Source organism: Homo sapiens, chromosome 18 (genome assembly GCF_000001405.40).
Source record: "Homo sapiens chromosome 18, GRCh38.p14 Primary Assembly".
Classification (NCBI taxonomy): domain Eukaryota; kingdom Metazoa; phylum Chordata; class Mammalia; order Primates; family Hominidae; genus Homo; species Homo sapiens.
The window spans coordinates 8,304,521-8,318,393 of record NC_000018.10 but is presented as its reverse complement, the minus strand read 5'-3'; the positions used below and the strand labels follow the sequence as shown (position 1 = coordinate 8,318,393).

At 41.4% G+C, this 13,873-nt stretch overlaps 1 protein-coding gene across 29 annotated transcripts in view; it reads right to left on the bottom strand.

Annotated features, from left to right (window-relative positions):
• The window catches only part of PTPRM (protein tyrosine phosphatase receptor type M), an 839,541-nt gene that overhangs the window by 88,463 nt on the left and 737,205 nt on the right, over positions 1 to 13,873 (bottom strand). For all 29 annotated transcript variants that reach the window (XM_011525708.3, XM_047437715.1, XM_011525712.3 and 26 more), the window contains one exon: positions 3,537 to 3,613. In XM_011525708.3, the coding sequence (XP_011524010.1) occupies positions 3,537 to 3,613 (77 nt within the window). The remainder of the gene's footprint in view (positions 1 to 3,536; positions 3,614 to 13,873) is intronic.

The window sequence follows — 13,873 nt, the reverse complement described above, 5'->3', positions numbered from 1 at the left end:
GCCCAGGGGTTCCAGGCTGCAGTGAGCCAAGATTGCACCACTGTACTTCAGCCTGGGTGACAAAGTGAGACCCTGTCTCAAAAAAAAAAAAAAAAAAAAAAAAAAAAAGAAGGAAACAAAAAAATTGTAGGATAAGTATCTGGGAAAGAAAATATCCACTCAGAGAAAATTACAGCCAGCTAACATATCACCATGGATCTTAATATTTTCTATTTCTGTCCCCCAAGATTGCCCAAAATACCATGCCCAAAACTGGTTGGAAAACAGAAAAAAGAAACTTGAAGAGAAAACTCAGATTTCTCAGATAACTTAAATGCACATGTTAGATCATTTTGCCCTTAAAAACAAGTTGAAAACAATGAACAACAAAAGCAAACACATTCTTTTATACAATTGACTTGCTGTAGGTCTCAAATTATAGAGCCATGACCAATATTAAATAGAACTCTTTAGACCATCACTCATTTCTCACTGGCTGCTAAGTCCCACAAGGGCAACAACCTTGCTTGACTTATCCATACTATATGTCCGAGGGCCTAACAAGGTGCCCAGTAGTTAGGAGGGACTCATCTGATGGTGAAGTCACCCAGAGAGTCCACAGTGGCCTGTATTGCTGAACATCACCATCATTTCTCAGTCCTTATCTACTTGGCCATCGGCAGCATGAGTATAATCAATCCCCTTAAAATGCTTTCTTCCCTGGTTCCATGATGTGACTCTCCTGGTTTTCTTCCTACCTACCTCCCTGGCCGCTTGTTCTCAATTTCATTGGCTGGTTCTCCCTTTTCAACTTGATGTGGAAGGCCTGGTTGTTGGACATTTTCCTCCATCTGCTCTCATTCTCTGAGTGAGCTCCTCCAGCCCCATGGCCTTCAAGCTCGTCTGTACACTGATGAATCCTATATTCTTGTTTCCAGCCTAGACCTTTTCCTGGGAATTTTGATGCATACCCACTGCCTGCTCAACACCTCCACTGGGAGGTCTAATATATATTTAAAGCTTCACACACCTAAGACTGAACTCCTCATTTCCTCCCTAACCCCTACCTGAATCTGTTCCACACACCATCTTCTCCTCAGCATCCTTGACCCCTCTCTCCCTCCTGAACCCCGTAGCCAATCTGCCAGCAAATCCTACTGGCTCTACCTTCAATGCAGCTCAAGGGTCTCGCCATTTCTCACCTCCACTGCCACCTCTCTGATGATTCCCACAGCCACATAGCAGGCTTCTCTGCTTCCTCTCCTGGCCAAGTGCAGTTCACTTCCCTCCCAGCAGCCAGATCACGGCTTTACTCAGATACCTCTAACGACTGCCCATCTCACTCACAGTAAAAGCCAAAGTCCTTACAACTGTGGACCTGACCTGGCCCATGACCTCTCCCCATATCATGGAACTCCGCAGGCCCCCATACACCATGCCAATGATTGCCTGCTTGCTTTTCTTCAAAATCGCCAGGCACAAATTCCACAACAAGGCCTTTGCTTGGGCCGTTTCTCAGCCCAGAATGCTCTTCTTCCAGGTATCTATATAGCTCAACCCCTTGTCTTCCTTGCTCACTTGCTACCTTCTCAGTGGGACTGAGCCACTCGATTCAAAATTGCCATCAGGGCCTCCAGGTCTGGCGCTCCGAGTCCCCCTTTACGGCTTTAGTTTTCTCTGCAGTACATACAACTTTCTAATTGACCATACAGAATTAACTTTTTAATTTATTGCCCATTTCTCCTAATTAGAACAGCAGCTCCACTGGGTCAGAGGTTTTTTTGGTTTTGGTTTGAACGGTTCACAGTTTTTCTGCTAGCACCTAGAAAGGTAAATAACGCACAAGTACTCAATAAGATCTATTGACTAAGAGAATAAAGAGGCCCTCAGTATTGGCTCTTCTCTCTTAAAATACAATTCAAACTCAGTAATCCAGTCTTTTCATTACTTTATAGCCTTGCTCATGTATGTGACCTCCTTGAGCTGGAATATCTTCTCTCCTGCATTTCCACTTACTCACCGGTTAAAGCTTATTCAAATTACATCCTCTATGATGCCTAATCTGATCACAATGACTCCTTCAGTGGGTGTTTCATGAAACACTTACTAAGGGCTCTCTATATTCAGGCATGTGCCAGGTGCAGGGGAAGTAAGATGCCTAGGACACTGTCCCTGTACTCAAGGACCCAGTAGAGACTGCAGGAGCTGGGACTGGAGTGTGAACGGTGTCCCCTGGAGCCTCTCAAGGGAAGGTGTGCTACAGTTGGCCTGGAGGTAAGTGGACTGGATAAGACACTCATATTTCAGCTTCTCAGCTTCTGAGTTGGGAGACTGTGAGGAGGAGATAACTGGTCTGGAACATCTGAGTACTCCCATGAGGTTCTCACTAAACATGTGCTGATTAAAAGAGTAAGTGCAATGCACCTTATGAAGAAAGCTTGCTTTAATAAAAAATAAATGGAACCTGGAGAGGGTATGGTTTTGGTTGTTATCAAAATAGTGCAGGGGTCTTCGTTTGATGAATGAGAGATGAACTATTCTTGAAATAATCATACCCCAGTCCCTACCCAAAAATCTATAACTGAAAATGCCAAATCTGTCTAATTAGCACTAAAGATAACATTCTCATAGTTATTTTTAGATAACTTTCTTAGAGATTGTGATGCTATTTACTTTTAGTAGCATCTCAGTAATATTCAATCAAGAAGCAAAACAATCCATATATATGGATCAATCCTGTCTATGGAAGTACTGATAGACTAAGCAATAGTGTGAAGGCCAAGCACAGAGTATGCCTTCGGAACCACAAGGGAGCAGAAATCTGTTTAATATAAACTCGGGCCTTGGAGGTAACAGCAACTTTCCCTTGATTTTTCAGTCTACTTTTGATTTCATTCATTCTTTCAACTGAAAACATGCTGTCTCCTAAAGAATTTATTCTAATGTAAAACATTAAGTTAACATGATGCAGAATGAACAAAGAGGCAGTCTTCAATAATTAAACAGCCTACATATTTAATGACATGTCTTGCTTGCATTAGAAGTCCTGGTGAACAGATGCAGACTACTTTGAAGACAACTTAAAAGTGCAGTGATGACAAGGGATTGCAAATCGCCGTATTAGGAATTAGAGAGTTTTGTCCCATTAATATGCAAACAAATTTTTTAAGTGTCGAATAATATGAGTTGTTGACAAAAAAATGGAAATAACATTTTCTTAGTCCACATAAGCATGAGATGGCAAAGAAGGCATAGAATGTTACAGAGAAATTCACCAACGAATGGGCTACCTTGAGAAAAGGAGTGACCGTGTCTTCACTGTTAAGTTCTGTGGTGTGCAGGGTAATATTCATGTGTTTGCTTTTAGATTGAGCCCAATGTATGTCCAACAATCGTTCAGCAGACACACAATCTGGTACATGTCAGAATGGTTGGGTTTACTGAGTTTTATACTCTGATTTAATCATTATGCATTGTATACATGTATCAAAATATCATACATAGCACCCAAATATGTACAACAATTATATATCAATTAAAAATAATAAAATACATACATCGATATAATTGCCATTGATATAGTCTGAGTTTGTGTCTCCTTCTATTGTCTGCAGCCTCACTCGGGAATGATCGTCTGCAAAGGAAAAGGGACAGAAAATAACGATTAACAAAAGCAATCTGGTAGGTGGCTCTGAGCCCCAGAATGTAAGCATATTACATAGAGATCACCCACAGACACTCTGCTTTAAAGATAAAGAATTAAATAGTACACACCCTCTACTTCCCATTTTGCTATTAAAATTGGGAAGGATTTGTAATTTTTAACATTTTACAGTAAATCTCATTAACTTATTCTTTGATCATTGACGGGCCTAAAGCATTGACAAAGGTTTGACACTTTTACATACAATCCTGTGAACCACAAACATAAGTAGATCTTGGACTGGAAGTTTGAGCAACTTCACTAAATCACATACAAACCCTGAGATGTTGAAGGCTGTGACACCCACCTTGACAAATGATGATTACAAACTCACGGTGCAGGCTTCTGGGATGTGCAGATGTGATCCTAGCCTTAGTCACTGGTGAGTTCCCTAAGTCCTATCTGTATCTGCGGGCATCAGCCAGCAAGAGCAAAGCTGTCACCATCCATCATGTGACCACAGGCCAGGAAATAAAGGCACCAAGCCTCAGCCTCCTCATCTGGAGAAGGGGATGACACTACCTGCCTCAAAGTGGGCTGTGTCCAGGATTCAATGAAAACACAAATTGACACATAAGTACTATAGAGGGCTCATATTTATGGTATTAATTAGTTATATTTAAGTATTTCCAGGGTAAAAAAAATTATCTGCAAATACTATTGATGTATCTCAATTATTTCCTTGAAAATGTATATTGTATTTTATTTGTTACCTTAATTTTTTTCAGAAATGGGGTCTGGCTATGTTGCCCACGCTGGTTTCAAATTCCTGGCTTCAAGCAGTTCTCCTGCCTCAACCTCCCAAATGCTAGGATTATAGGTGTCAGCCACAGCACCTGGCCCCAAATCCATATTTTAAAAAGGGATGTGCTTCGTATGTTGTCACTCATAAATGGGAGCTAAGCTAAGAGGGCACAAAGGCATAAGAATGATACAGTGGACTTTGAGGACTCAGGGGAAAGGGGGAGAAGGGGGTAAGGGAGAAAAGACTACACACTGGGTACCGTGTACACTGCCTGGGTGACGGGTGCGCCAAAATCTCAGAAATCACCACTAAAGAACTCATTCATGTAGCCAAACACACCACTTGTTCCCCCAAAACCTATTGAAATAAAAAACTAAAAATTAAAAAAAAAAAAGAAAGGATGTGCTAATAGCACCCTAAGGGCAGAATTTTCCTGCACTGATCACTGCTGTGTCCCTGGCCTTTAGATTAGAGCCTGGAACATAGCAGATTTACCCCCAAAATAACTTTTGAAGAAATAAAAAGTGCATTGTCGTTTTTTGAAAATATATGTCCTTTAAAAAGTATTTACCTAAATAACTGTTCCTTTTAGCAGAGGGACCCTTCCTTCCAATTAAAGTGTATGCTAAAACTCAGTATTCAGAACAGATAAAAGCCAGCTGCCCTGAAAGGAAAGCACAGGGGGGCCTGATAAGAACATTTTGCAAAACTTCACTTCCAATGTTGCTAGAGCAGTGGGAAACCCTGCTTCTAAACTGCTACTGCCTTTTTCTGATGCTAACTTTACTCAACATTTCTTTTGGGTTAGTGGGTGAGAAATGAAGCCCACAGCTTTTGAGATAAAAGCCAGGGGAGCTGCAGATGACGGACCCTTTTATCCTCAGTCACTGGAGCAACTATTGACCTGGACCCATTCCTTGAAATGCTAATGGGTGAAAGTCAAAATTTCATATTGGTTTCTGGAGTTTAACCTCCTGTCGAGTAAATGTTTTGTTTGTTGTCAACAGCACAGGCAGAAGGAAATCGGTGTCAATTTTCTAACTTTCCTTCCTTGACGGGGCTTTCCACTTCATGACAGGTAGTCACATTATTTCATGTCAGTGCCTTACCATTAGTTGGGGTGCAATAAGTTTATCTGGAATGTGGTGACAAGCTGGGCCAGAGAAGGAGAAAAGCTGAGAGGAGGTCATGTCTTCCTGCTCTGCTCACAGGAGACTATGGGATGAGCAATTTCTGGGGTCGAGTGTGTGGGTGAGAATCGCTGCTGGTGGGTTAGAATCCTTCACGTGTGGTTTTGGGCCAGTTACTTAATCTTTCTGTGCTTCCTTCGCTGTAAAATGGAGATGAAGAGTGCCTACCTTGTGGGATTACTGTGAGCATCAAAATAATACACATAAAGAGATCATAAAAAAGCCTGGTATATAGGAAGCGATGGATAGATGTCAGTTATTATTGTCATGGGCTATGTAATGGACAGCCACATTTTTCTTCCTGCTGTTTTTACAGATGATGTCCAAGCAGATAACAGCAACCCCAGGAACAGACTCACCGGCAGTCAGAATGTTTCCTCATGGTGATCTGCTTTAAGAACCAATTTCCTAGGACACATTTTGCTGCTTAAAACCAGTGGCTCCCTGTATATGTTTTCCACTGTTGGGGGTTTGGGGGAGGTGAGCTGGTGCACTGGACATGTGTAGATTGTTATGGCTTTTGTGTATCTTAGGAGAGCCAGTGCCTACATGCAACTACTGCACAGAAGGGTGCCACAAGCACCGGCAATGCCATTTGAACTTCAAGAATGAAAGATGCACCCTAGAACTGAATCACGGCTACTCCACACACACTGGGCTTTCGTCAGCTCCTCTGAAGGGAGGTCAGGTTCACCTTCCTGGATACTCAGGCTTTCCCTGGGCAGGTTTTCAAAAGGCAGGCAACCGACCGAATTAGAACCTTGCAATCTAAGCAGGCCTGTCTCGAAGATCTGTTGTACCCCCTCGTCAGATTCCTGTCTATTTTGTGCTTGAATTCTCTGAGCTCCTCAGGATGAGTGCTGCTCATTCCCTGTGATTTACCACCCATGGGCTGCTCAGGCTATTCTGGAGGGTTCTCTTTAGGGACGTCAATCTCCACCAGGACTGAATTCCTATTTCCTATCAACAGAGCCTCTGAAGTAGAGTTTTACCATCATCTCCTACAGTTCAGTTTATCCACACCCCAAAATTTAACTTGGCTGCTACTTCTCCAGATTCAATTGCCCTTACTCCCCTCAGGATGGAGAAACCTGTAAGACACATGTACAGTTGACTTCCTAACAGAATGAGATGGGTTTTGCCTTTATATACATGGTAGTATCTTTTTTCTTTTATTGATTCTACTAGATTACAATGTCCTGTGGTCAGAGACAGTGTCATATATAATCTGAACATCCCTAAGAGTACCTTTCCCCAAGGTCACATGCCTAACTCCAAAAGACTCCATTCACAGCACAGAGGCACAGGCTGCAGTCCCATGTGTGGGGCCCTGCCTAATACACAGCAAGTGAGCAACAAGGATTGAACTCTTCCCCATGCTAATGAATGGGTGGTGGTCCAGGATCATCCAAGATACCTTGAATGGGTCCACAGTGCCTTTTTAAATTTCAGGTTTTTTTTTTTTTTGAGACGGAGTTTTGTTCTTTTTGCTCAGGCTAAAGTGCAATGGCGCGATCTCGGCTCATTGCAACCTCTGCCTCCTGGGTTCAAGTGATTCTCCTGCCTCAGCCTCCTGAGTAGCTGGGATTACAGGCACACACCTCCACGCCTGGCTAATTTTTATATTTTAAGTAGAGATGGGATTTCACCATGTTGACCAGGCTGTTCTGGAACCACTGACCTCAGGTGATCCACCTGCCTCAGCTTCCCAAAGTGCTGGGATTACAGGCGTGAGCCACCACGCCCAGCCTAAATTTCAGTTTTAATACAGGCTTGTCTAATATTGTCAGAATACTGAGCTATTTCATCTTCTAGAAATCTCTTACCTAATCATTCCTAACCATCTCTAACTGTCCAAATTCTGCCAATTTTTCAGTATTCAACTCAGATGTCCCCTCCTCAGTAAGGTCTTCTCATTTATTCAGTGACTTTTTGAGTATCTGCTATATGCCAAACACTATGCTAAGTGTTGGGGATATGTAGTGTTAAACAAATTAGATTTACGGTGCTTGAGTTCATGGGACTTAAGGCAATGGAAAACACATTAAACAGTCATTGCTTAAATAATGACTTAAATACAATTTTGATAAGTGCTAAGTTGGAAAGGACAGAGAGCTATGAGAGTGAATGGCATGGGTCCTGACCTACTCTGAAGAGCTAGCAAACAATTCCCTAATAAAGGGACATTGAAGCTCAAACCATGAAGATGGAAAGTGGAGAGGGCAGAACTCCTAAATTTCAAGTCCAGGAGATAGTGTGTATTCAGGCCAGGAGGTAGGAAGGATCTAGTATGTTCAGGAAACCAAAGAAGGTTGGTGTGGTGAATGTGCTGTCAGAAGCCAGGGAGGAGAGTGGTGGGAAATGAGAACAGAGAGGAGGGAAGGCCAGGTCATTAGGACCTTCATCCTGAGCACCGTGGGAAGCCACAGGCAGGGGCGTGCTTCATTTCATCAGATGCCCGCTATTGTTGAGGACGAACTGGAAGGGCTGTGGGAGTGGGGAGACAATGGGGAGGCTACTGCAAGAGTCCTAGGGGATCAATGGCAGTTTAGCATAGAGAGGGCTAGTGGACAGGGCTGAATCTGAGGGGTATTTAGGTGGTAGGACTGACCACAATGATCAGTTCACTTATTGTGGATGAGAAGAGGTATCATGTTGACTTCTAGGATTCTGATCTGAGAAAAAGGGCAGAAGATGGTGCCATTGACTAAGATGTGAACCATGGAGAAAAGCCAGCTTGGGGTGGGTGATGGAAATGAGGCACGCAGTGTTGGATATATTTAATCTGAGGTGTTTACCATCTGAATAGAGATATGGAGTAGGTTGTTGGGTATAAATTCTCCTTCCTTAAATGTCAATAGTCCTTTGATTTCACTTTTTGGTGCTCTTATATATGGTTATCTATAGACATGACTTATTTCTCCTACAGATCAAAAATACCTTAGCTGGATGTGATGGCATATGCCTGCAGACCAAGCTACTTGGGAGGCCGAGGCAGGAGGATAGCTTGAGCTCAGGAGTTCAAGACCAGCCTGGGCAACATGACATTTTTATTATTATTTTTAGAGACCTTGTCTCTATAAAAAATAAAAATTGAAAAAAGAATTAGCCTAGCATGGTGGAGCACACCTGTAGTCCTAGGGAGGCTGAGGCAGGAGGATCCCTTGAGCATAGTGGTTTGGGGCTGCAGTGAACTATGATTACACCACTGCACTTGCCTGGGCAACAGAGCAAGACCCTGTCTCTATAAAAACAAAAACTATTTAAGAGGAGCTGTGTCTTATATTCATCTTCACCTCCTGTGTGCACACTTCTATGAAAATAATAGTATAAATATATATTGATAAATATATAATCAATAAACATTTATTTTTATCAGTAAGTGAAAAAAAGCCCAGCTTACAATGAGATACCATCACATACCCACTAGAAAGGCAAAACATTTAAGTCTGAACACCAAGTTCAGGTGAGGATGTGGAATAATATAAACTCACAGATTCTGCTGGTGGAAATGAAAATTAGTACAATCACTTTGGGAAACAATTTGCTAGTTAGTAAAGCTGAAGACATCCACGACCTATGACCCAGCCATGAGGAAATGGATACTGTGTGCATCTTGAAACGTACTGAAGCAATACTGTTTACAATTGACAAAACTATAAACAATCCAAATGTCCATCAACAGAAGGGAGACATAAATTGTACTATATTAATAAAGTGGAATGCTATTTAGTAATGAAAATGAACAAGCTACATTTACATACAACTTGAACAAATCATACAAACATAGTTGAACAACAAAAAAAGCAATACACAGAAGAGTATATACCAACGCTGTCCAGTAGAACTTTCTGTGCTGATGGAAACATTCTATATCTGTGCTCACCAGTACAAAGGCCACACTAGTTACTGAGCACATGAAATGTGGCTGGAGTAACAAAGGAACTGAAATTTTAATTTAATTTTAATGAACTTAAACAATTATGTGTAGTTAGTAGGTACAATACTGGATAACAGAGATATATGTTACATACTTTTACTTATGTAAAGTTAAAAGCCAGGCAAAATGTAACTATATTGTCTAGATCTGTACTGTCTAATAGGGTATCTGTTAGCCACATGAGGCTAATCCTAATTGTGCTGTAAGTGTAAAATACACATCAAATTTGGAATATTTAGCACGATAAAAAGAATGTAAAATACCTCATTTATATTTTTTATACTGACTGCATGTTGAAAAGTTGACATTTAGGACATATTAGATTTAATAAAATATATTACTAAACTTAAGTAATTTATTTCTTTTTCTGTTACTTAGTGTGGCTATTAGATTTAAGGACAATTTAATATTATACATGTGGCTTGCATTTATATTTCATAGTTTCTTTCTATTGGACCATGTGCTAGGGAATACATAAAACAGGAAGGGTTTCAACCAATCAGGCAGCCAACTCCAAACTCATCACACCATGCTCAAATAAGGCAGATGCCTAGCTGTAGCCAATTAGGTGATTTCTCTACTTTGCTTCTCTGTTTGGCCTACAAAAGCCTGCCACTCACACTTGTAGGTGTGGCTCTCTGAACCTCTTCTGTTTCTGAGGGCTGCCTGACTCATGAATTGGTCTTTGCTCAAATAAACCTGGCTAAATTTAATTTGTCTAAAGTTTTTCTTTTAACAGTACTTAATGGCACTGACCTTAAAAATGGTTAAGATGGTAAATTTTATGTGTATTTTTCCAAAAATAAAAAAAGTCTAATTTTTCCATCCCTCCCTTGTAATAATAGCTCATGTTCCACTCTGGTCCCTGATATCCTAGGAAAGGGCATTCATGGACTTGCAGCCTAGAGCCCTGTGAATTCTTTTGCTAGGCACATTTTCCTGAGATGGTGAGTTCCCTTTCCCTGATGAAATCAAGGCAGGAGTGACGGTGACTCTATAGCTTTCTTTTTTTTATTTTTATTTTTTTTTTTTGAGACAGAGTTTCACTCTTGTTGCCCAGGCTGGAGTGCAATGGCGCGATCTTGGCTCCCTGAAAGCTCTGCCTCCTGGGTTCAAGCAATTCTCCTCTCTCAGCCTTTTGAGTAGCTGGGATTACAGGCAGCTGCCACCATGCCCAGCTAATTTCTGTATTTTCAGTAGAGACGGGGTTTCACCATGTTGGCCAGGCTGGTCTGAAACTCCTTTCCTCAGGTGATCTGCCTGCCTTGGCCTCCCAAAGTGCTAAGATTACAGGTGTGAGCCACCGCGCCTGGCCTCTATAGCTTTCTAATAGAGGATAACAGTCATACATTATGTAGTTTATGAAGTATTTTTGTTTTAGTGATAAAATAAGGTGAACACTGATAAGTGAATCCACCTCAAGCCCAGGAGATACCTGTGTTAGCAGTGAGCGTGGGGTAAGTCTCAAGAAAGGGTCCAGTTGGGGTGGAGAACGCGGGACATGTGTTCTGCCATGGAGAGCAGCAGGCTGATCATCACATGATTGCACTTCCTGGCTGAAACAGGTCAGCACTTCTCAAGTTAATCCCTATGTCTTCCAGAATACAAGAAATAGGTAAGTATCACCATCACTCACATTAAGTCGGTGAATGTAAAAGCTAAAGAAGTGAAATGATTGGCTCTTCCAGCTCCCCCATGCTCTGCTGCTTGGACGTCTAAGAATGACTTGGCACAGAAACTGCAGATTCTTACGCGTCCTCTCTCAAACAAAGCTCTCAGATGACTATGAAAACAACAGATATAGACTGTTGGGGCAAATAAATCAGTATATGGATGCCCCTCACCATATGTTCTTGAAATATCATTCACCTTGAATCAGATGCCAATTACAAAGACAAATATGTATCAACCATTCTTTCAGGAAAACTCAGTTATTCCTTGGGGTACTCTTGAGGCTAAATCATATCAAATTTTTATGAGGAAATGCCTCACAGACATTTCTGGCATCTGGCAAATGTGGGAGACACTCAGACAAAGAATCCAAAGAAATGCCAATTGTCCAATGATAAGCCCTGTTCTGCAGGTTTGTTTTGAAGGCTTACCAGCTGGGAGGGGCCCTCTCTCAGGGCCAGGGTCTAGCCATTGGGGTTGAAGGGAGGAAAAAGTTTGGAAAACTCAACTGCCTAGGCATAAGATCTGTAGAATTCAATCAGTTTTGTGGTTAACAACAGGTCAATTACTAACCATGAAAACCACGGGGTCAAGACTATGAGGACTTGGTATTTCTGGGGCACACAGCCTGCTAAGTTTGAGAAGACCTGAGCTGTAGTTTTTAATTACCATCTGTATTTCTCTGCCAGCATGGGTGCTTTTCCTTGATTATTCCAAAGCCATTTCACATTCACATTTTGCAGGAAATGAAACTAACAGGGGCTTTGGTGTCCAAGACCATGATTTGATGCTGGCTCTACAACTCACATGCATCTGCACAAATTTGGAGTCCTGCTGAGCTTCATCTGTAAAAAGGGGTGACAAGGGGCTACTTTCCTAGGAGTTCTGGGAGGACCAAATAAGATAATGCATAGTATTATCAGGTGCCTGGAACACAGTACAGTTAGTTCCCCTTAAAAAAAATTACGCTGCCAGGCGCAGTGGCTCACGCCTGTAATCCCAGCACTTTGGGAGGCCGAGGTGGGCGGATCACCTCAGGTCGGGAGTTCGAGACCAGCCTGACCAACATGAAGAAACTCCGTCTCTACCAAAAATACAAAATTAGCCAGGTGTGGTGATGCGCGCCTGTAATCCCAGCTACTTGGGAGGCTGAGGCAGGAGAATCACTTGAACCCAGGAGGCAGAGGCCGCAGTGAGCTGAGATCGCACCATTGCACTCTAGCCTGGGCAACAAGGGTGAAACTCCATCCAAAAAAAAAAAAAAATTACCCCTTTTCTGTGAATAAAAGCAACATCTTTGTTGAAGTTTACCAATAAAATCTTCAAAGCACAAAGAGCCAGTATGCTTACTGGGGAACAGCAGAGCAGGGCAGAACTGAAAACTGGAAGCAGCCAATCTTTCAGGGAAGAGGAGGTGGAGATACTTTTAAAAAGGAAACAGGAGAAATGTTTGAAGACATGCTGAATGCTCTTCAATAACTTCTACATTTTAATCTCCTGGTATCTGCTCAACAACCTATCCCTATTTCTGTGTAGTGGAGCACGGAGGTTAGGATCCCGGGCTCCCGAGCCAGAATCCCTGTATGAATCTCAGTTATGCTGCTTTCTAGTTGTGTGGCCTTGGAGAAGTTATTTGACCGCTCTGTGCCTCAGTTTCCCCAACTGTAAAATGGGAATAACAATACTGCCTATATTATAGAGTTTTGTGAGGATTAAGTGAATTAATATAAGTAATCATTAGTAAGTAGCTGGTATACAATAAGAAGTAAGGGAAAGTTAGCTATCACTTGTCTTATTAGTGCCAATGACTTAATTCAAGACCTGATCATTTTCATCTGCACTATTTCATTTTTGCCTCTAGTTGCTTCCCTCACTAGTGAATCCATGCCAAGGACTGCTTTTTCTAAAACAGACGTTTTTTTCCTAACACCACCTTGGTAACCATTCAATGATATAAACAGGAGACTGAAGAATGGTGGGCAAACAAGCAAAAAATCTGATAAAATCATTCAAAAGGATTACCAGGCCTTTAATTTATTTACCTGGAAAGATCTCTGGGACATATTACAGAGTGAAGAAGAGCAGGCTACAAGGCAGCATGTCTAATAAGAGTCTATTTACATGAAATAATCAAACGCATTGGTGTACGTGTAGGTATGCACAGTGGGACAACTGGAAGAATGAGGTTTCTGCAGGGGATAAAATCTGGAGTGATTTTTATTATCATCTTTATGATTTTACGTACTACTTTAATGGTCCACAAGGTTTATATTATCTTTGTAATTAGAAAGAGAATAACACATCTATTCTCATTGAAAAACAAAGAGCAAAAAAAAAAAAAAAATAAAGTCAACAGCTTCAAGAGATAGAAAAATAAGAAGACTGGAATGAAACATAAAAAAAATGTTAGCAGGGTTTGAATCTGGATGGTGAGATTCTGGGATATGTTCCCCAAGTTTTCCACAGTGTACAAAGTTTCTTTAATGTGTATGAATTGGAGAAAAAGAAATCTATTTGCCATGCATGACTTGAATATGATCAAAATTAAACTCATGTTTATATCATAATCACAACTCAATGTTACCCCATCAAGAAATGTAACAAACTCTGCCACTTTGAGAAACTCCATCTGCATAAAAACGACT